The following is a 20,379-nucleotide window of genomic DNA, read 5'->3' as shown; positions in this document are numbered from 1 at the left end:
GATTTGCCTTTTTAGTCCTCGCAACAACCCTCAGAAGTAAATAATATTATCATCCCCAATTCACACATGAGGGAATGGAGGCACAAAGAGGTGCAGTAAGTGATAGAAGTATGTTAAGTCAGGATTTCCAGCCCAGGCAATCTGGCTTCACAATACAAAGTGTTTAGTTTTAAGAAAATGTACTACATCCTTACCTTGAGATCATAAAAGTTATCGATGAGAGTTATGAATCTTCGACCTTGAGTCCTGTTTGCCAGAGTAAATTGCGGAATGTTTCGTAAAAATATTGTATCAAAATTCTTTGATAGTTCCAAATAGTCACTGGCTCCAAGTGGCTATGATAAAATGAAATAAAAGAAAACTTAAAAATAAACCAATTCTGGTTGCCTTTGGAGTGGTTTAGTGTAAAAACACCTCTTTCTTGTCATGGTGTGATCTAGGTGGTAGCTGTGGGTAACTTGACCAAGTTACCCATAGGCAGTTGCCCTAGGCACTTCAGTGCACTTCTGATAATGATTTTCCTTGAGCATGTAGTTATTCTGATAGAAATCACATCCATGCATAACGAGTGAGCTTAATTATACATAACTACATACCTAATATGAGGTTTTACATTTTTTTACATATACTTTCCGGTTTACAAAAGATGAGACACTAAATCCTAACTGAGCTCCAAAAAAGTAGTGTACCCTCAGAGCATGAGAGTCCTAATGTATGAGTTTTCCTTTTTACAAAAAGACACTGTATTTTGCCCTCCCCTCTCTCCCTTTTGGGGATTGTTTTCACTATTTGGTGAAACCAAGGGCAGTGTTTTCAGAGTAGGCTAAGGACACAGATAACATACACTGTGTTGCCTTAATAGTGATGTGAAAAAGGGGCAAGAGAGAAGACAAGAGTGCGGTGGGGAGTTAAAGAATATCTCTAGCCACAGCCTTAGTTTGTAATCTTTAGGTCCCTGTCCATATTTTTATTTCTATGACATCACTTTAAACATGTCCTAATAAACCCTTCCCGTGACTCAACTGCAAACTGCCACTATTGGTCAATGGAGCTATTTGATAATGGCATGCTGAAGATTATGCCACCATTTTGAAATAAAGACTGTGCTTCAGTATGAAAATCATCAGAAATTATTTTTAGTTTAATTTAAGGTACAATTATTCAAGTCCAACACTGCTAACCTCTGTAGGAAATACTGAAGGGCTTAAATAAGCAGGAGCAGATGAGAGCTCCAGAATAATTGGAGGCAGTACACTGCCTCCTGATACGAGGAGAGTATGGGACTCAAGGTCCACAATATTATTCACAAAAGTGCCACCTACAGATGTAAAGTGCTTGTTTCTGAAACATGAATTTAACTCCTGAACATTAGGAACACAATCTGCAAACACATTCTTTGGGGTTAGGAACACTCCCAGGAAATGTTACCTCTGCTCATTTTAAGCTGCCTGTGGATGACTGTACTCTGTGAGCAGCAAACCATGAGCAAATGTTGGGAGAGTGTTTCTGGCCCTGCTGGAGTCGGGAGAAGGCAGAGACTGAGTGGCCCAGGAGCTGCTCTGAAGTCCCTCTGGAAGCTCCTGGGTCACCCTGATCGACCTCTAGGACACAGGTGGCTGAGCCTCCTCAGTTTCTGGCAGAATCCATCAATATTCCTCCCTGTCCAGAAATGTCTATCTCATTTGGGAAGTCCTTTGCATGAAACTTCTTTCAGAAATGTTGATATGGCGATATTCCTGGGAGAATTAGGAAACCGTGAGGAGGAGGAGAGTCATTCTCACCTTTGTCCATTCACTTAAGCCTACCACTCTCCTACCAACCAGCTGAAATCAGTTATGCTCAGGAAAGAAGAATTTGCATGGAGGTGTGGGGAGGTACAAGTAAATCCAGAGAGTTAGGTTCTGGAGAAGTGGTTCCCTAAATAGAGAGCAGTTCTAAGAAGGATGCAGCAATTATGGGACCTAGGCAATGGGCACAAAACCAGAGACAAAGAGCACCAAGAATGACCCGAGTCCTTTGGAAATGTGCTGACAGTGCCCCTTCCTCCCATCTCTTCTCACCAACCAGATAACAAATGGCAGCCAGGAGGAGGCAAGCTCCGCCCTTCCCATTTTCCTTCCCTGGCTGGAAAGCCTCTACCTCCAGACCTCGTGCCTGGCCTTAGCTGAGACAAGCCACTCACCTCAGCCATGGAGGGTTCCAGCATGCTGTGGGTTTTTCTGGGAGTGGGGTGGGGTTGGTTTAAACCTACTTCTGTTCCAAGAGAATCCTGCTGTTGAGCCCAATACAGACCAGGAGCACGTGTTAATAGAGAAGGTGGGAGTGAGGGCTCTGGAAGGCCTGGATCTGACTCCTCAGTTGCTACTTATCAACTGGGTGCCACTGGCAAATTACATCATCTTCCTGTTCCTTAGTTTTCCCATTTGTAAAATGGGGATTTGATTCCTATCTGACAGAATCGTGAGAATTAAACAAAGTAATATATGCAAAGTGTTTAGCACAGTGCCTGGGGCATACATTAGTATTCAAACCATCTTGGCTACTTTTATTTTTATTATTTTGAGCTCAAATGATTGGGATCAGTACAAATGAATTGAGTATGTCATTCTCAAGAGGAATCCAAGACCCTAAATCAGCCTTTGTGCACTTGTCTGTCTTGGGAGTCACAGCAGGCACCAGATGAGACTGTGGAATCACCAAATAGTGAAAACAATCCCCGAAAGCGAGAGAGGGGAGGGCAAAATACATGTCTTGTTGTAAAAAGGAAAACTCATACATTAAGACTCTCATGCTCTGAGGGTACACTACTTTTTTTGAGATCAGTTAGGATTTAGTGTCTCATCTTTTGTAAACCAGAAAGTATACATAAAAAAATGTAAAACCTCATATTATGTATGTAGTTATGTATAATTAAGCTCACTCGTTATGCATGGATGTGATTTCTATCAGAATAACTACATGCCCAAGGAAAATCATTATCAGAAGTGCACTGAAGTGCCTAGGGCAACTGAAAAATCAGAATTTTGCCCATTCAGCTATTTTACAAATTACATACCTTTGTCAGTAGGTTCTGCATTTGCCATTACATTAGCAACTATTCCTTCCCCTCATATCCCTAAAACAATTACATGCTCATTCACATAAAGAAAACAAAGCTCAGTAGAGTTATCTTTCTCCTTTCAAGACAACAGTCATTGGGGGAATGCGGAATTGTTGTTTAATACATTCAGTCTAGGATGAGGAAAAAGTTCTAGAGGTAGACAGTGTTGATCACTGCACAACAATATGAATGTACTTAATGTCACTGAACTGTACACTTAAAATTAGTTAAAATGGTCAATTTTATGTTATATGGTATTTTACTACAATTAAAAAAAAGTCATTCAAACAAGGAGAGGTTATTCATTGCCAAAGACATCTCTCTCAATTTAGGCCACGAGAGATAGCAATACTACTTTTTTCTTTAAAAACATGAGAAAGAAGAATGAAATGTATTTATCAAAGAAGGAAGTTTTTTCCCCCCAAAAAATCAGATCCAATAAGAATAGGACTAATTTAAAATAATGACATTTTGGTTTTCAATAAATTCATGGGTAAGCATATTTCTAAAAAGAAAAGTTCAAAAAAGTCAAAAATTAAAAAGAGAATAATAAATAGGAAAGATAAACAAGAAAAACAATTCAGTTGGCTCCCCATATCTGTGGGTTCCACATCTGCAGATCCAACCAACTGCCAATCAAAATATTTGGAAAAAAATATAACATAAAAACCAGTACAAATTAAAAAGCAATACATTATAACAACCATTTACATAGCATTTACATTGTACTAGGTATTATAAATAATCTGGAGATAATTAAAGAATATGGAAGGAAGCCAGGCCCAGTGGCTCACGCCTGTAATCTCAGCACTTTGGGAACCTGAGGTGGGTGGATCACTCGAGCTCAGGAGTTGGAGATTATAACAACTATTTACATAGCATTTACATTGCACTAGGTATTATAAATAATCTGGAGATAATTAAAGAATACGGGAGGAAGCCAGGCCCAGTGGCTCACACCTGTAATCCCAGCACTTTGAGAAGCTGAGGTGGGTGGATCACTTGAGCTCAGGAGTTGGAGACCAGCTTGGGCAACATAGTGAAACCCCATCTCTACAAAAGATACACAAAGTTAGCCAGGTGTGGTGGTATGCGCCTGTAGTTGCAGCTACTCAGGAGGCTGAGGTAGGAGGATCGTTTGAGCCTGGGAGTCTGAGTTTGCAGTGAGCTGAGATCACCACCATTGCACTCGAGCCTGGTCGACAGAGACCTTGTCTCAAAAACAAACAAACAAAAAATATGGGAGGATGTGCATGGGTTATATGCAAATACTACTCCACTTTATATCAGGGACTTCAGGATCTGCAGATTTGGTGTCTGTGGAAGGTCCTGGAACCAATTACCCATGGATACAGAGGGGTGACTGTACTTTAAAGTAAACCAGTCAAAACCCGTGACCACAGTCCAGGTCAATATGCTCCCATTTATAGCATGTCTTAATTTTCGCAATTTTTCCCCATGTAAGCATGATGACTAGTGTGTTGTCAGTATTTTTCTCCATAAATGTCAGACAATATCAAGTACATCTACATATGTATATTGCCTCTGCTCCATTCCCTTTCTCTTCTCCTTCTGATACTTTAAATGCACCTAGGTTAAACGTCATACTCTCCTTTTATCCTTTATTTTGTATATTTCTTTATTACTTCTCCATGATTCATTTTGGATAGTTTTTCTGATCCACTGTGCTTCTCCTTAGCTGTGTTTAATCTGCTCTTAAGCTCATCCCTTGAGCCCTTAATTTTTGTTACTGCACTTTGTAGCTCTAGAATTTCCACTGATTCTTTTTCAAGGTTGAGATGTCTCTTTTTATTATCTCTAGATCCCTTCTGAAGCGTAGTTCCAAGCCCACTTTTTTTTAAAAAAAGTTCTTTGAATATGTAAGTCTAGCTGTTTAAAATATAGATTCATACTTCTAATATCTGGAGTTCCTAATTTTATTGTCTGTTGTTTTTGTTTGTTCTCATTCACAATGTCTTGTCTCCTCATATGCCTGGTTATCTTTGTACATCCTGGATTTTACCTTTGAAAAAAAATACATATAGAAAAAAATCTGGCTGGGCGCAGTGGTTCATGCCTGTAATCCCAGAACTTTGGGAGGCCGAGGCGAGTGGAACACGAGGTCAGGAGTTCAAGACCAGCCTGGCCAAGATGGTGAAACCCCATCTCTACTAAAAATACAAAAATTAGCCGGGTGCGGCGGCAGGCGCCTGCAATCCCAGCTACTCGGGAGGCTGAGGCAGGAGAATCGCTTGAACCTGGGCGCGGAGGTTGCAGGGAGCTGAGATCGTGCCATTGTACTCCAGCCTGGGTGACAGTGTGAGACTCCATCTCAAAAAAAAAAAAAGAAAAAAGAAAAAAAAAAAATCCAAGCTCAGGGCTTGAGGTTTTCTAAGTATTCAGCTGAAAATCTGGCTAAAGTCCATGAGAGGGCTGGCTTATTTCTGCTTTACACTAATTCCTAAGTGCAGTCCTTCAGGACTTCAGGATGAAATCCACTCAGGACCTTATCCAAAGTGGGGGATACAGGCAGTTAAATAGGTTCCCATCCTTGGATGGCCCTAGTCTCTGACTTTTGTCCCACTAACCCAATAAGGCTGCCAAAAGTAAGCTCAGCTCACCTCATTTTGAAAACAAGATTGCTTAGTGCATACCAATATCCATGTTTTTCTCTTCTTTCTGGGCACACAGATAGACTACAGGCACACTTCATTTTATTGTGCTTCATTTTACTGCATTCTGAAGATACTTTTGTTTTGTTTACAAATTGAAGATTTGTGGCAACTCTGCATCAAGCAAGTCTGTTGGTGACATTTTTCCAACAGCATGTGCTCACTTCATGTCTCTGTGTCACATTTTGTTAACTGCCACAATATGTCACACTTTTTCATTACTATTACATCTGGTATGGTGATCTGGGATCAGTGATCTTCCATGTTACTGTTGTAATTGCTTTGGGGTGCCACGAACCACATCCTTATAAGATGGTGGACTTGATACATTTTGTGTGTTCTGACTGCTCCACCACTGGCTGTTCCCCCATCTTTCTCCCTCTCTTCAGGCCTCCCTATTCCCTGAGATACAACAACATTAAAATTAGGTCAATTAATAACATTACAGTGGCCTCTGTGTTCAAGTGAAAGGAAGAGTTGTACATCTCTCATATAAAAGCTAAAGCTAGAAATGATTATGCTTAGTGGGGAAGGCATGTCAAAAGTCAAGACAGGCCAAAAGCTAGGCCTCTTGAGCCAAACAGTTAGCCAAGTTGTGAATGAAAAGGAAAATGTCTTGAAGGAAATAAAAAGTGCTACTCCAGTGAACACACAAACTATAAGAAAGTAAAAAAGCATTATTGTTGATTTGGAGAAAGTCTGAGTGGTCTAGATAGAAGATCAGACCAGCCACAATGCTTCCCTAAGGCAAAGCCTAACACAGAGCAAGGCCCTGACTCTCTTCAATTACATGAAGATTGAAAGAGGTGAGGAAGCTGCAGAAGAAAAATCGGAAACCAGCAGAGGTTGGTTCATGAGGTTTAAGAAAAGAAGCCATCTCCATAACGAAAGTTCAAGGTGAAACAGCAAGTGCTGATGTAGAAGCTGCAGCAAGATCTAGTTAAGATCATTTATGAAGGTGGCTACACTAAACAACAGATTTTCAATGCAGATGAATCGAAAGAAGATGCCCTCTGTGACTTTCATAGCTAGAGGGAAGTCAATGCCTGGCTTCAAAGCTTCAAAAGGATAGACTGACTCTCTTGCTAGGGGCTAATGCAGCTGGTGACTTTAAGTTGAAGCCAATGCTCATTTACCATTCTGAAAATCCTAGAGCCCTTAAGAATGATGCTAAATCTACTCTGCCTGTGCCCTAAAAATGGAACAACAAAGCCTGGATGACAGCACATCTTTTTATAGCATGGTTTACTACGTATTTTAAGCCCCCTTTAAGAGCTACTGCTCAGAAAAAAAGACTTCTTTCAAAAGATTACTGCTCATTGACAATGCACTCGGTCACCCAAGAGCTCTGGTGGAACTGTACAAAGAGATGAATGTTGTTTTCATGACTGTTAACACAACATCCATTCTGCAGCCCATGGATCAAGAAGTAATTTTGACTTTCAAGTCTAATTATTTAAGAAATACATTTTGGAAGGCCATAGCTGCCACATATAGCGATTCCTGTGATGGATCTGGGCTAAGTTAATTGAAAACTTTCCGGAAATGATTTATCATTCTAGATACCATGAAGAACATTAGTGCTTCATGGGGAGAAGGTCGAAATATCAACATTAACAGGAGTTTAGAAGAAGAGGATTCCAACCCTCATGGATGACTTGGAGAGGTTCAAGAGGAAGTAACTGCAGATGTGGTAGAGAGATATGGCAAGAGAACTAGAATTAGAAGTGGAGCCTGAAGATATGGCTGAATTGCTGCAATCTCATGATCAAACTTGAACTGATAAGGAGTTGCTTCTTATGGATGAGAAAGAAAGTGGTTTCTTGAGATGGAATCTACTCCTGGTGAAGATGGTGTGAACACTGTTGAAATGACAACAAAGGATTTAGACTATTACATAAACTTAGTTGTTAAAGCAGTGGCAGGGGTTGAGAGGACTGACTCCAATTTCAAAAGAAGTTCTGCTGTGAGTAAATGCTATCAAATAGCATCACTTGCTAGAAAGAAATCTTTTGTGAAAGCAAGAGTCCATTGTACAGCAAAGTTCATTGTCTTATTTTAAGAAATTGTCAGTCATCCTAACCTTCAGCAATCACCACCGTGATCAGTCAACAGTCATCAACATTGAGGCAAGAGGTTGGGTATGGTGGTTCATGCCTATAATCCCAGCACTTTGGGAGGCCGAGGTGGGCGGATCACTTGAGGTCAGGAGTTCAAGACCAGCCTGGCCAACATGGGGAAACCCTGTCTCTACTAAAAATACAAAACCAGGCCAGGCACGGTGGCTCATGCCTGTAATCTCAGCACTTTGGGAGGCCGAAGCGAGTGGATCACCTGAGGCAGGGAGTTCGAGACCAGCCTGACCAACATGGAGAAACACCATCTCTACTAAAAATACAAAATTAGCCAGGCATGCTGGCACATGTCTGTAATCCCAGCTACTCAGGAGGCTGAGGCAGCAGAATCACTTAAACCCAGGAGGCAGAGGTTACAGTGAGCCGAGATCACGCCATTGCACTCCAGCCTCGGCAACAAGAGCAAAACTCCAACTCAAAAAACAAACAAACAAACAAACAAAAAGCAAAACCAGGCATGGTGGCTGCACCTGTAATCTCAGCTACTCAGGAGGCTGAGCCAAGAGAATCGCTTGAACCTGGGAGGCAGAGGTTGCAGTGAGCCGAGATCACGCCACTGCACTCCAACCTGGGCAACAGAGTGAGACTCTGTCTGGGTAAAAAGAAACAAAACATTGAGGCAAGAAAAGCCTATAACAGTAAAAACACTACAACTCACTGAAGGCTCAAATAGTTGTTAGCATTTTTTAGTAATAAAGCATTTTTAAATTAAAGTATGTATTTTTTTGACATAATGCTATTGCACACTTAATAGACTACAGTATAAACATAACTTTTATATGTACCGGGAAACAAAAAAATTCCTGCGACTCATCGGTTCCAGTGGCCTGGAACCAAGCCAGCAATATCTCCAAGGTATGCCTGTATTATTGCCCAGCCTCCCTTAGATTTAAGTGTGGCTGTGTGATCAAGTTCAGACCAGGGAGTGAGAGAGACAGTAATATGATCACTTCAAGGTCTAGCCCATAAAAACACTCTACACAGAATCTTCCTTCTTTTCCTCATCTGCAGGTGAATAGAGAGGACTCTAAGGACTTAAAGGAGAGATGAAGTCTGAGTCCATGAAGGACTGCATGGAGCTACATTTCCTTGTCAGCCTGCATTGGACAGTAATATGATCAAGAAATACATGTTTGTTTATTAATCCTCTAATTTGGGGGTTATTTGTTGCAGCAGTTAGCCTATCCTACTACTAATTTCATCTAGCTTCCTTCATTGCCCTAACAAAAAATGTGGTGCAAATTACAGAGAGTCAACCATTACTGAAAATACAAAACTTCTTAATGTCTCCTTGTATGAATGAGGATTCTTGTTCACATAGATGGTAACTATCAAAAATTTCTCTTCGGCCAGGTGCGGTGGCTCACGCCTGTAATCCCAGCACTTTGGGAGGCCAAGGCAGGCGGATCATGGGGTCAGGAGTTCAAGACCAGCCTGGCCAACATGGTGAAACCCCATCTCTGCTAAAAATACAAAGTATTAGCCAGGCATGGTGGTGCGTGCCTGTAATTTCAGCTACTTGGGAGGCTGAGGTAGGAGAATTGCTTGAACCCAGGAGGCAGAGGTTGCGGTGAGCGGAGATCACACCGTTGCACTCCAGCCTGGGCGACAGAGCAAGACTCCGTCTCAAAAAAAAAAAATTATCTTCAAAGTGGGCAAAAAACATGCACAGACACCTCTTAAAACAAGAAATACAAGTGGTCAACAAAGATAGGAAAAAATGCCCAACATCATTAATCATCAGAGAAATGCAAATTAAAACCACAATGAGCTATCATCTCACACAAGTCAGAATGACTATTACTAAAAAGCCAAAAAATAGCAGATGTGGGTGAGGAATGTGGAGAAAAGGGAATGCTTATACACTGTTGGTGGGAATGCAAATTAGTTCAACCCCCATGGAAACAGTATGGAGATTTCTCAAAGAACTAAAAATAGAACTACTATTCAACCCAGCAATCCCACTACTGGGTATCTACCCAAAGGGTAGTGCAAAAGACACCTGCACTCACGTTTATCAAAAAGACACCTGCATTCACGTTTATAATAGCACTATTCACAACAAAGGCATGGAAGCAATCTAAGTGTCCATCAATGGTGGACTGGATAAAGAAAATGTATGTGTGTGTGTGTGTAAATATATATGTATATATATCAGTATTGGTCACATTGATCAAGATGTCACACATCAAAAATGATATCCTTTGTGTGATACACAGGGTTATATAAGATGATTTGGCAGCATCGATATGTAGTTTGGTGAAAACATTCATTATATTTCTGTATATTATATAATCATGAGAAGAAAAATAAACTTACAAATATATTTTGAAATATATCGGCTGGGCACGGTGGTTCATGCCTGTAGTCCCAGCACTTTGGGAGGCCGAGGCAGGCAGATCACCTGAGATCAGGTATACGTATATGTACACACACACACACACACACACACACACACACACACACACGCACGCACCATGGAATACTACACAGCCATAAAAAAGAATGAAATCATGTTCTTTGCAGCAACATGGATGCAGCTGGAGGCCATTATCCTAAGCAAATTAACAAAAAAACAGAAAACCAAATACTGCATGTTCTCACTTGTAAATGAGAGCTAAACAATGGGTACACATGGACATAAAGATGAAAAAATAGACACTAGGGACCCCAAAAGCAGGGAGCAAGAAAAGGGGGCAAGGGTTAGAAAAATTACCTATTGGTCACTATGTTCACTATTCAGATGACAAGCACCCTAGCAGCCCAAATCCCAGCATTATACAATACACCCATGTAACAAACCTGTGCATGTACCCCCTGAATCTATTATTTTTTTAAAAAAATTCCTCTTCAAATTTTCTTCAGGTTTTTTTGGGGGTGATGGGGACAGGATCTAGCTCTAGCTCTTTTGCCCAGACTGGAGTGCAGTGGCGTGATCTCAGCTCACTGCAGCCTTGACCTCCTGGGCTCAAGTGATCCTCCCACCTTAGCTCCTGAGTAGCTAGAACTACAGGTGTGCTGCACCTACCAATGGAGCCCAGCTTTTTTTTTTTTTTTTTTTTTGGTAGAGATGAGGTCTTGCTATGCTGCCAAGGCTGGTCTCAAAATGCTGGGCTCAAGCAATCCCAAACACCTTGGCCTCCCAAAGAACTGGGATTACAGGCATAAGCAACCATGCCTGGCCTGGATTAAAATTTTAAAAGTCTTAATCAGGAATTTCATTTATCCCATTTCAAGTATCAAAACTGACTTTTAGAAAGTTATGTTTATGGGCTGGGCATGGTGGCTTATACCTGTAATCCCAGCACTTTGGGAGGCTGAGGTTGGTGGATTGCTTGAGCTCAGGAGTTTGAGACCAGCCTGGGTAACATGGCAAAACCTCATCTCTACAAATAATACAAAACTTAGCCACATGTAGTGGCACGTGCCTGTAGTCCCAGCTACTTGGGAGGCTGAGGTGAGAGGATGGCTTGAACGCAGGAGGCAGAGGTTGCAGTGAACCAAGATGGCGCCACTGTACTCCAGCCTGGGCGACAGAGCAAGGACCTGTCTCAAAAAAAAAAAAAAAAGTTACATTTATGGAGGGAAGTTTCTCATTACAAATTTGAAAACATTTTATTTGATAGTTTTATTCAAATTCAATATTTCATGTATATATATATTTTTGAAATAGAGTCTCACTCTGTCACCCAAGCTAGAGTGCAGTGGCGCAATCTTGGCTCACTGCAGTCTCTGCCTCCCGGGTTCAAGTGATTCTCCTGCCCCAGCTTTCCAAGTAGCTGGGATTACAGGTGCATGCCACACGCCTGTCTAATTTTTGTATTTTTAGTAGAGACAGGGTTTCACCATGTTGGTCAGGCTGGTCTTGAACTCCTGATCTCAGGTGATCTGCCTGCCTCAGCCTCCCAAAGTGCTGGGACTACAGGCATGAACCACCGTGCCTGGCCGATATATTTCAAAATATATTTGTAAGTTTATTTTTCTTCTCATGATTATATAATATACAGAAATATAATGAATGTTTTCACCAAACTACATATCGATGCTGCCAAATCATCTTACATAACCCTGTGTATCACATAAAGGATATCATTTTTGATGTGTGAGATCTTGATCACTGTGACCAATACTGATTTAAATACAATGTTGCCACTCACCCTTTTGTTCCCAAGCATTCATTATTTAAAAATGTTTGGGTTATTTAAAGATGTTTACTTGGATTAACTAAAAAATTCTCTAGAACTAAATTATGATAATTTAAAACCCACTGGAGAATTGAAGAAGGCCTATGTGGGGTGAGGGGTCATCTGATTATAGTAATGGCTGCAATTGTTCTTGCCTCCTTGTCCATATCCTTTGGATTGCAACTTTCCAGCTCTTGCATTGTGACGTGGAGTCTATTCTTTACCATGGCTCAACTTTACCACGGCCAACAGAATGAAGCAAAAGTCACAGTTTTCAAGTTCTGAACTTAGGTCTCAAGAGGCTTTGCATGCTTCTGTTCACTCTTTTGCAATACCTCGGCTAGCCTGCTGGAGGAGGAGAGAACACAAAAAGGACAAAAGCCAAGAGAGCATCCTAGGCTGCATACAGCCAGCTGGCCCCACACAGATGAGAAGAGCCTAGCCCAGTGCAGCAAATTGACTGCAGATGCACATATGAACCCAACAGAGATCCAAAGAACTCCCCCATAGCCTGTAGACTAGAGGGTAATAACAAATGCTTATTGTTACTCAGTTTATGTCATTGAATTTTGGGGTGATTTATTATGCAGCAAGAGCTAACGAAAACACTATACTTGCTACAGAGATTTACTAGTGAAAGCTTTTAAGTCATTAGCAAGTCCAGCCCCTGCAGAAAAATATGATCCAGCTTTTATAGTTAAGAATTAGTTTTGCATAATTGATAAGTATATTTAAACACATATATCATCATTTATTTTATGTTCATTTATTTTTATAATCAATTTTGGAATTTTTATGGTGTAATATAAAACTTATTTCCAGAAATAAAACTTATGATTTACTGTATACAAGAACTAGAAGGAAAAAGTTGGTAAATTTTGTGGTATCGTTTTAGAATACAAGACATGGACCCAATCAAATACAAGCAGAGAAATGCAGGGAGAGAGCAAACTGATATGAAAAAGGAATTAAGTGAGACAAGGATTGACTACAATAAAACTAAAATTGTAACAGCATTGCAACAGAAAAAAAATGAATATAGAATTTGAATAGACAATTCATGGAGCAAAGAATATAGTAAGTAAAAGAGGCTAATAAACAAATGAAAAAATAGTCAAGCTCAGTAGTAATAAAGAAATTCTTATTTCAAAGAAATAAGAATGTTATATCATTTTTCAAATAGCAATTTGGCAAAGAAAAATAAATTATGCAATTTGATGCCGGCAAACATGTAATGCAGCATCCATCGCTGCTGGAAGAGCAAATCAGTTTAGTTGTTCCTGAAAACAGTTTGATGGGTTGTAGTAAGAGCCCTAAAAAAAAGTTATAAACTTACACCCATCATTTCACTTCTAGAAATCAATCAGGAGAAAGTGATCAGAAATTCAACCGAAGGTTATACATAAGATTATAACTATGTCACCAAAAAGCAACTTTAATATCTGATAACAGAAGAATGGTTCAATAAATTAAGGCACATTGATGTAATAAAATAATATGTTGCCAACAAATAATGGTGTCCATGAAAAATATTTTATGATATGGAAACATGCCATGATAAAAAAAACTAAGTGAAAAAGCATAATGCAAAATTATATGTTTGTTTTGCTCAAAATATATATGCAGAAAAAAGCATAAGTAAATATATTTAAAATGTTACTTGTTATTTCTAAATGGTTGGAGTGAAAGACTTAGAGGTATGTTTAATAATCTTCATTTTTTTTAGATTTGTCAGTATTTTCCAAAGGAGAAAGAAGCAAAATAATGACAGAAAAGAGTCAAACCAAAATAATGATGTAGAAAAACAACATTAAAGATTTTTATTAATTCCAAAGTATATTTACTGTGCGTTATTTTTCAGCTATTTCATCCCCTGCATCTTCCCTAATATTACAATACATCATGAATATGTAAAATATTCAACACAAAGCATATACTAAAGACCTTGAGGAGCTACAATGCCATTTACATTTGCTGTTGCCACACTCATTTACGTCATTGTACAAGACAGGGAGTTCTATTCACCTCAGTGTCCCCAGCACCTAGCACAGACTAGGGAACAGAGTTTTGCATAACACACAATTAATGAATAAATAAAGACACTATCACCAAGTCTTCAAAATCAATTATAACTATTGAATGCTTAATAAATATGAGGCACTGTATTAAATCCTACAAGAACTTTGCAAAACACAGGGAAAAGACATTTCTCTACTCCTTTGACCACACTAACAAACAACTAAATTACATGCACAGTATATCTATGGCAGTTGCAAATATTTATACTTTTGTTTTGCATTAGTTGATCCTCCTATGTAACTAAACCATAGCATAATACACTTTTTGAAACCATAATTAGTATTGTGAATTCATGCATTGTGCCCTATGAATAATTAAAGCATATGATTACTTTTGAGTACTAAATGGCACTTCAGTTAGTAGCATCCTTGAGTATGTTATTCTAACTCAAAATTCAAGTAGGATTATCTAAGGCTGATTCTTCTTATGATAGATAATGATGACATTCTCCATCTTTCCACCTGAGCAATTAAAAAGTTTAATAGTCTTTGATGTGGCTGGTTATCTGAATAATTTTCTTAACAGGAACAATTAAAATCCACTTACTCGATGGTTTGTGCATTCTCCACTATTGTTTCAAACTCTTTGTTTCTGTGGAAACCTGATGAAAACTTAAAGAACTTTAAATCTATAATGACTTTGCAAAGAGTATTTGTTTTCCTTAATTACCAAGAGTATACAGCTTGATTATATGTAGCCCAGTTTCTCTAACAAACTTAAAAATAAAGAGCTTGCTTGCTGTCTTTTTTCTCCTATATGTGAAATGGTCCAGTTGTCTGCTTTGGTATCGACCCTGGTGCCAGAAGTGGGAATTTTCTCAATGCCACACCAATGTGAAATGCACGAGCATTACCATCAGACCACCTTCTGCCCTACAATGATCCACTTCAGTATACCCAAATGAGCTGTCAGCTGGAGTTTCTTTTTCCTCTGCCTCACTAATGCTCTGCTCTGCTACCATTATTTCAGCTGAAGTAGGACGATTATGATTTCAAGCTCTATCTAGATTATACGGTCCTAAGGGTTACTCTTTATCTGTATAGACTCCTCCTTATAAACCCTTTGTAGGAATACGCTGATAGCTGTTCATTAAACAAACATGCGTGGTATCTTACTTTATTTACATGGCAATGACAATACTTCATATCTTAAAGAGAAGTACCTTTTAATAGAAAATGCTTGAATGGAATTAGGATGAATGTATCCTTTTCAAAACAAACTGAAAATATCACACGAATTGATGTTAAGACTATTTTTATGTGCCAGATTCCAAAATAATAAATATAATAATTAGAAAAACAAGGCTGGGTGTGGTGGCTCATGCTTGTAATCCCAGCACTTTGGGAGGCCGAGATGGGTGGATCACTTGAGGTCAGGAGTTGAAGACCAGCCTGGCCAACATGGTGAAACCCCATCTCTACTAAAAATACAAAAAAAATTTAGCTGGGCAGGGTGGTGCACGCCTGTAATCCTAGCTACTCAGGAGGCTGAGGCAGGAGAATCACTGGAACCTGGGAGGCGTAGGTTGCAGTGAGCTGAGATGGGACCACTGCACTCCAGCCTGGGTGACAGAGCAAGACTCTGTCTGAAAAAAAAAAAAAGAAAAGAAAAGAAAAAAAGAAAGAAAAGCAGAGCACTGAAATGTGTGTATTTGCAGAGTAAATAATTTCCCAAGATTCATATGGCACCTCAATATGAGAAATCTCACGAATATGAAGTCCAAACACCCAGCTGGGAAATATCTCACCATTCTAGAAAATATCACCAATTCTTAACACATTCTGCTTCTCAGGGTGTTCTTTGGAGTGCTGAGGGAAAGTTTTGCCATTTGATTTACACAGTCTCAATGGCAGGAGGTTGGTTCTACCTAAATCTGCCAGATTTTTGCTAAATTCTCATCCCCTTTTAATGGTTAATACAGTATTTTTTTGCGGGGTGGGGGGGGCATATTTTGCTTGTAGAAACAATGACTTAACAAAAAAATCAATGTGACAAACTAGAGGAGGGTACACTCCTCTACTCTACTCGACCAGCTTTGTGTATGTAATAAAGAGATCTCCAAATTCTGGAGATGTCTAATTCTGGGGATCCTGAAACTGACAATTTTCTCAAGACACAAGCCACATCAAGTCAGGTCTATCGAATCAGATCTACCAGGTGAAAAGCACCGTGCTGGACTCACTGGGGCAGGGGAGCAGGGGGAGCGGGGATGGAAACAATTGGCATAAAAACAGAAAACCAAAATGAAAATGTGACGCCAGGTGTGGTGACTCACACCTGTAATCCCAGCAGTTTGGGAGGCCGAGACGGGCGGATTGCTTGAGCTCGAGACTGGCCTGGCCAATATGACAAAACCCCATCTCTACTAAAATACAAAAATTAGCAAGGCATGGTGGCACAGGCCTGTAGCTACACAGGAGGCTGACGTACAAGAATCGCTTGAACCTGAAGGGCGGAGGTTGCAGTGAGCTGAGATCATGCCACTGCACTCCAGCCTGAGTGACAGTGAGACTGTGTCTCAAAAACAGAAGAAAAAGAAGATGAAGAAGTAGGAAATCGTCCTAATTAGCATCATCATCATTAATGAGCATCGCTAAATGTAAGCATCAATACAACTCCAAGACAATACATAACAACTGCAAAAGCATATCCACGACATGGTAAAAATTAGTGGAATGGGTTGTACTAACCACCTGGGACTGAATGAACCAGACTATACCTTGCTAATTACCTGGTATCTGTTGTTTGGTAGACATCTAAAATCTAGGAGAAGTCAAGTTGCTCCTTTTGGAAATGGGATAAACTGGGTTCGACCGTACAACAGAATTAACAACAGCAAATGAGCTAGTGTAGCTCAGAGCCCCCACTCAGAAAGACCCTCCATATTTCTAGAGTTAGAAAGTCTTGCCTAGCTTCTTTATTCAGCTTAAGTTTTCAGCTTAACTGTAGTGTGAGGGGCAGTCAGAAGGCAGAGGGAGTCTGTGAAGAACAAGGCTGCTGCTTTGGTTTGTGAGGCTGGAGGAAATGGGTCTTCACACACCTTGGCTCACCATGTTCTGGAAGCTATCTTCACCACCAGACGATTTAGCCTGGCTCGACTCTCCTCCTAGTTCTCACAGTATCTAAGGTTTCTGAATTAAAGAAACCAGAGGTTTAAGCTTTGGAGTTTATCAGATGCTGTGGGAACACTTCGGATCACTAGGTTTTGATTCTCACGGCTCCCTTGCTAAGATTTGTTTAGCTTCAGGCCAATCCTAAGCAAACCCTGTTCTAGAAAAACAGGAACAGCACAAGTGAGCTGGATAGTACATTACAGTAAGCATTTAGCCTAATAAAAGAACCCATACTTTCCAGATCCAGGAACACAGATAATATAACATTTTTTAAAAACATGCCGTTACAAATGTATGTCTCTCTCTGTGTGTGTGTGTGTGTGTATAATTATTTGATTGGTTAGTTTAATATTTTTGAGAAGCTTTTTGTTAAAAGGCATTTACTTTAACATGATCCTGTACTGTTAAACATGTACAATTCACCCTTTAAAGTCATAAAGAACAAAGAAAAAATTTATTGTAACTGCATTAATAGCTAGTCCTGTGAAATTACTCTGAATATTAGCAATCCAGTAGATACAAAAAAAAAATACTGGCAAGGGGAAGAAAAATAGCCCAACTGTTGCTAGAATTATTTCACAAGCTCCTTTGTTAAAATAATGTTGTAATAACTCCTTCTAATTTCCCACTGGAAAAGGTATTTTCTTAGCTAGTTCAAAACAGAAGGAAGTTTAAACATTATCATGAATGCCTCAGACATAGTGCTGTGATATCTGATTGTCCAGACTACAGAACATAATAAGTGAATGTGGCCAAGGCTGAAATATGTTTCCACCACTTTTGTATTCTCTTTCTGAATATAATGATTTTAATAAGAAAGTATATAATAATGATGAAGTAATTAGTACCAGCATTATTCTACCATAATCATTGAAATCAGTACTTAATCATTAACATAATCAAGCCATCCTGATTGTACCCTCAGTAGAGGGCAGTATTTGCTACATCTCCTTGGGAGGAAAGACTTGTACATTTGTCTGGCTTTGAGATCTACCCAGAAGAAATGGGAAAGATGAGCTGCATAGTGCAAGGTCAGGTTCTAGACTCTCTGACACCAGTCTTGCATGTGCATGTGACATGAAAGGTGAACCAGTGTTAACTTTTTCCTTTGGAAATCAGAGCTAAGTGGCACAAAAAGAGATATTTAGGATCCCAAAATGAAAAAGGAGAAAAGGCTTTAGAATAGCTAAGAAGTTATTTTAAATTTGAGAACTGTAACTTCTGAACACGTTAAAGTCTTGTAAATGCAGAGGTTTTGTTACTTTTGTTTTGCTTTTTGCTGTTGTTTTTGTTTGTTTTGCTTTCTTTGTGAGAGTCCATTGGAAAGAAATGGAACTCTCTCAGGCTTGGATATTTGAAAAGCTTAATCAGAGCTGGAAAAGAAGTGGATATTGAAGAGTTGCTTTCTTCCTCCCACTCTTCTGCTTTCCAAATCATGGAAATACTCAGTTAAAAATTCTAATTCATATTCAAAAGATATTAAAAAGTGAATCAGGGCAAGACTGAATATCTCCCCGTGCTGCTGGAATAAAGGGCCAAGCCCTTCAAACTATGAGTAAGACTAACAGAATTATTCACTTCATCTTCTTGCCAAAAGACAACCTTGAATTATCTGCTGCCCAAATTTTATTAAAAGATAAAAACATCCATGAAAGGCCGGAATAACATGCATCTATTCAATCTCTAAACATTTAGAACTATTTTTTCTGGATCAAGCCAGATAAATAAAGAGAAAAGCTCAGCTGTAAAGTACTATTTTTGCCCTTATAGCATAGTTTCATTAAACTTTACTTTGTCATTATGTTTTCAGCTTGGATATAAGAATCTATCAGATACAAGCATATGTCGGCAGCAGGAATGGTGCTGAGGAAATGTCTCCTGGCATCTTTCAGAAGTCCATTTATGAAAGGTACAAGTGCCAGTAAAAATCATCACTTCTGAGTAACTGGTTTGTTTTTATCTTCTAACTTACTGAATATCTTTTCCCCTCTTTGGCTGATAGAAGGCTGAGTGTTGACTTAATTGTTTGATTTTAAGAACTATGTAGAAGTTTATGATGTAGATTTATGTATATTAACTTTTCTGTCTTTCAGCTTAAGTATTCATTATTTTCCCTTTGTCCTGATTTTTAAAAAATTTAATTCTGTGTGTATATGGTTGTGTGTGTGTATCTGTACACACATATAAAATACTTTTTGGAATCAGATAAGACATAAATAAATCCATGCTAAAATTATTCTATTTCTGCTTAAAGCTTATTTCATCTGCTTTCAGTTAAACAGGAGGCAAAAGAGAATCAGGGAAATAAAATGTCAGTAAGAACTTCAGATAATAAACAGCAGTGCCTCTTTTGATTTTGTTAGTTACCAAGTATGTACTGAGCATCCGTCAGTAGAGAGAGATATTCTTAGAGAAGGTGGGTTTTCAACAGAGGGAAATAGCCCAGTGTAGGGAAGTAGAAATCTATTTCATGAACACGAAATTGAATGGAATTTGGCATAAAGAAGTAGCCTGAGAAAGACAAAGCATCGTTGGCTTTAATAAAGCAGTGAAGGGGGAGATTAAGAAGTGCATTGCAAAGGCTGCAGTTCGGATGATGTGACTATGTAACTATTTGGATTTATATAGGACATGATAGGGAGACAATGCAGAAAGTTCAGGAAAGAAATTGACAGTACAAACATGTATGCAAGATAATTTTTATATTCCCATGTAAATGTGTATAGTAATTTACAACTTACAGTTTTTCACATATGCTAAGGCTAAAAAGCAGTAAGATTAGGTAATTAATAAACTTATGACAGTGGCTTACTATATTAAGATTTTCTACAAAGTAACATCCAAACCCTAAGATATTACTGATCTAGTAAATTACTTCTGTTTTTTTGTTTGTTTGTTTGCTTTTGAGACGAAGTCTCTCTCTGTCGCCAGGCTGGAGTGTACTGGCGTGATTTCGGCTCACTACAACCTCCGCCTCCTGGGTTCAAGTGATTCTCCTGCTTCAGCCTCCCGAGTAGCTGTGACTAAAAGGCATGCGCCACCACACCCAGCTAATTTTTGTATTTTTAGTAGAGATGGGGTTTTACCATGTTGACC

The 20,379-nt window shown here is 39.2% G+C and overlaps 1 protein-coding gene and 1 long non-coding RNA gene across 10 annotated transcripts in view; one reads left to right on the top strand and one right to left on the bottom strand.

The window, feature by feature from the left end:
* AFG1L (AFG1 like ATPase) overlaps positions 1 to 20,379 on the bottom strand; it is a 230,948-nt gene that overhangs the window by 15,455 nt on the left and 195,114 nt on the right. For 8 of the 9 annotated variants that reach the window (NR_136553.2, NM_145315.5, XM_011535657.3 and 5 more), the window contains one exon: positions 195 to 335. The exons of the other annotated variant lie outside the window; for it this stretch is intronic. Coding sequence is in view for 7 of the 8 variants with exons in the window: in NM_145315.5 (NP_660358.2) it covers positions 195 to 335 (141 nt within the window). In the remaining variant the exon portion in view is untranslated. The remainder of the gene's footprint in view (positions 1 to 194; positions 336 to 20,379) is intronic. 9 annotated transcript variants of the gene reach the window in all.
* LOC124901370 (uncharacterized) overlaps positions 12,106 to 20,379 on the top strand; it is a 29,555-nt gene continuing 21,281 nt past the window's right edge. Inside the window, exon 1 of the long non-coding RNA XR_007059698.1 lies at positions 12,106 to 19,192. This is a non-coding gene — a long non-coding RNA (uncharacterized LOC124901370). The remainder of the gene's footprint in view (positions 19,193 to 20,379) is intronic.

Source organism: Homo sapiens, chromosome 6 (genome assembly GCF_000001405.40).
Source record: "Homo sapiens chromosome 6, GRCh38.p14 Primary Assembly".
In the NCBI taxonomy this organism is placed as follows: Eukaryota; Metazoa; Chordata; class Mammalia; order Primates; family Hominidae; genus Homo; species Homo sapiens.
The sequence above is the reverse complement of the archived record's forward strand: the minus strand, read 5'-3'. Positions and strand labels throughout refer to the sequence as shown.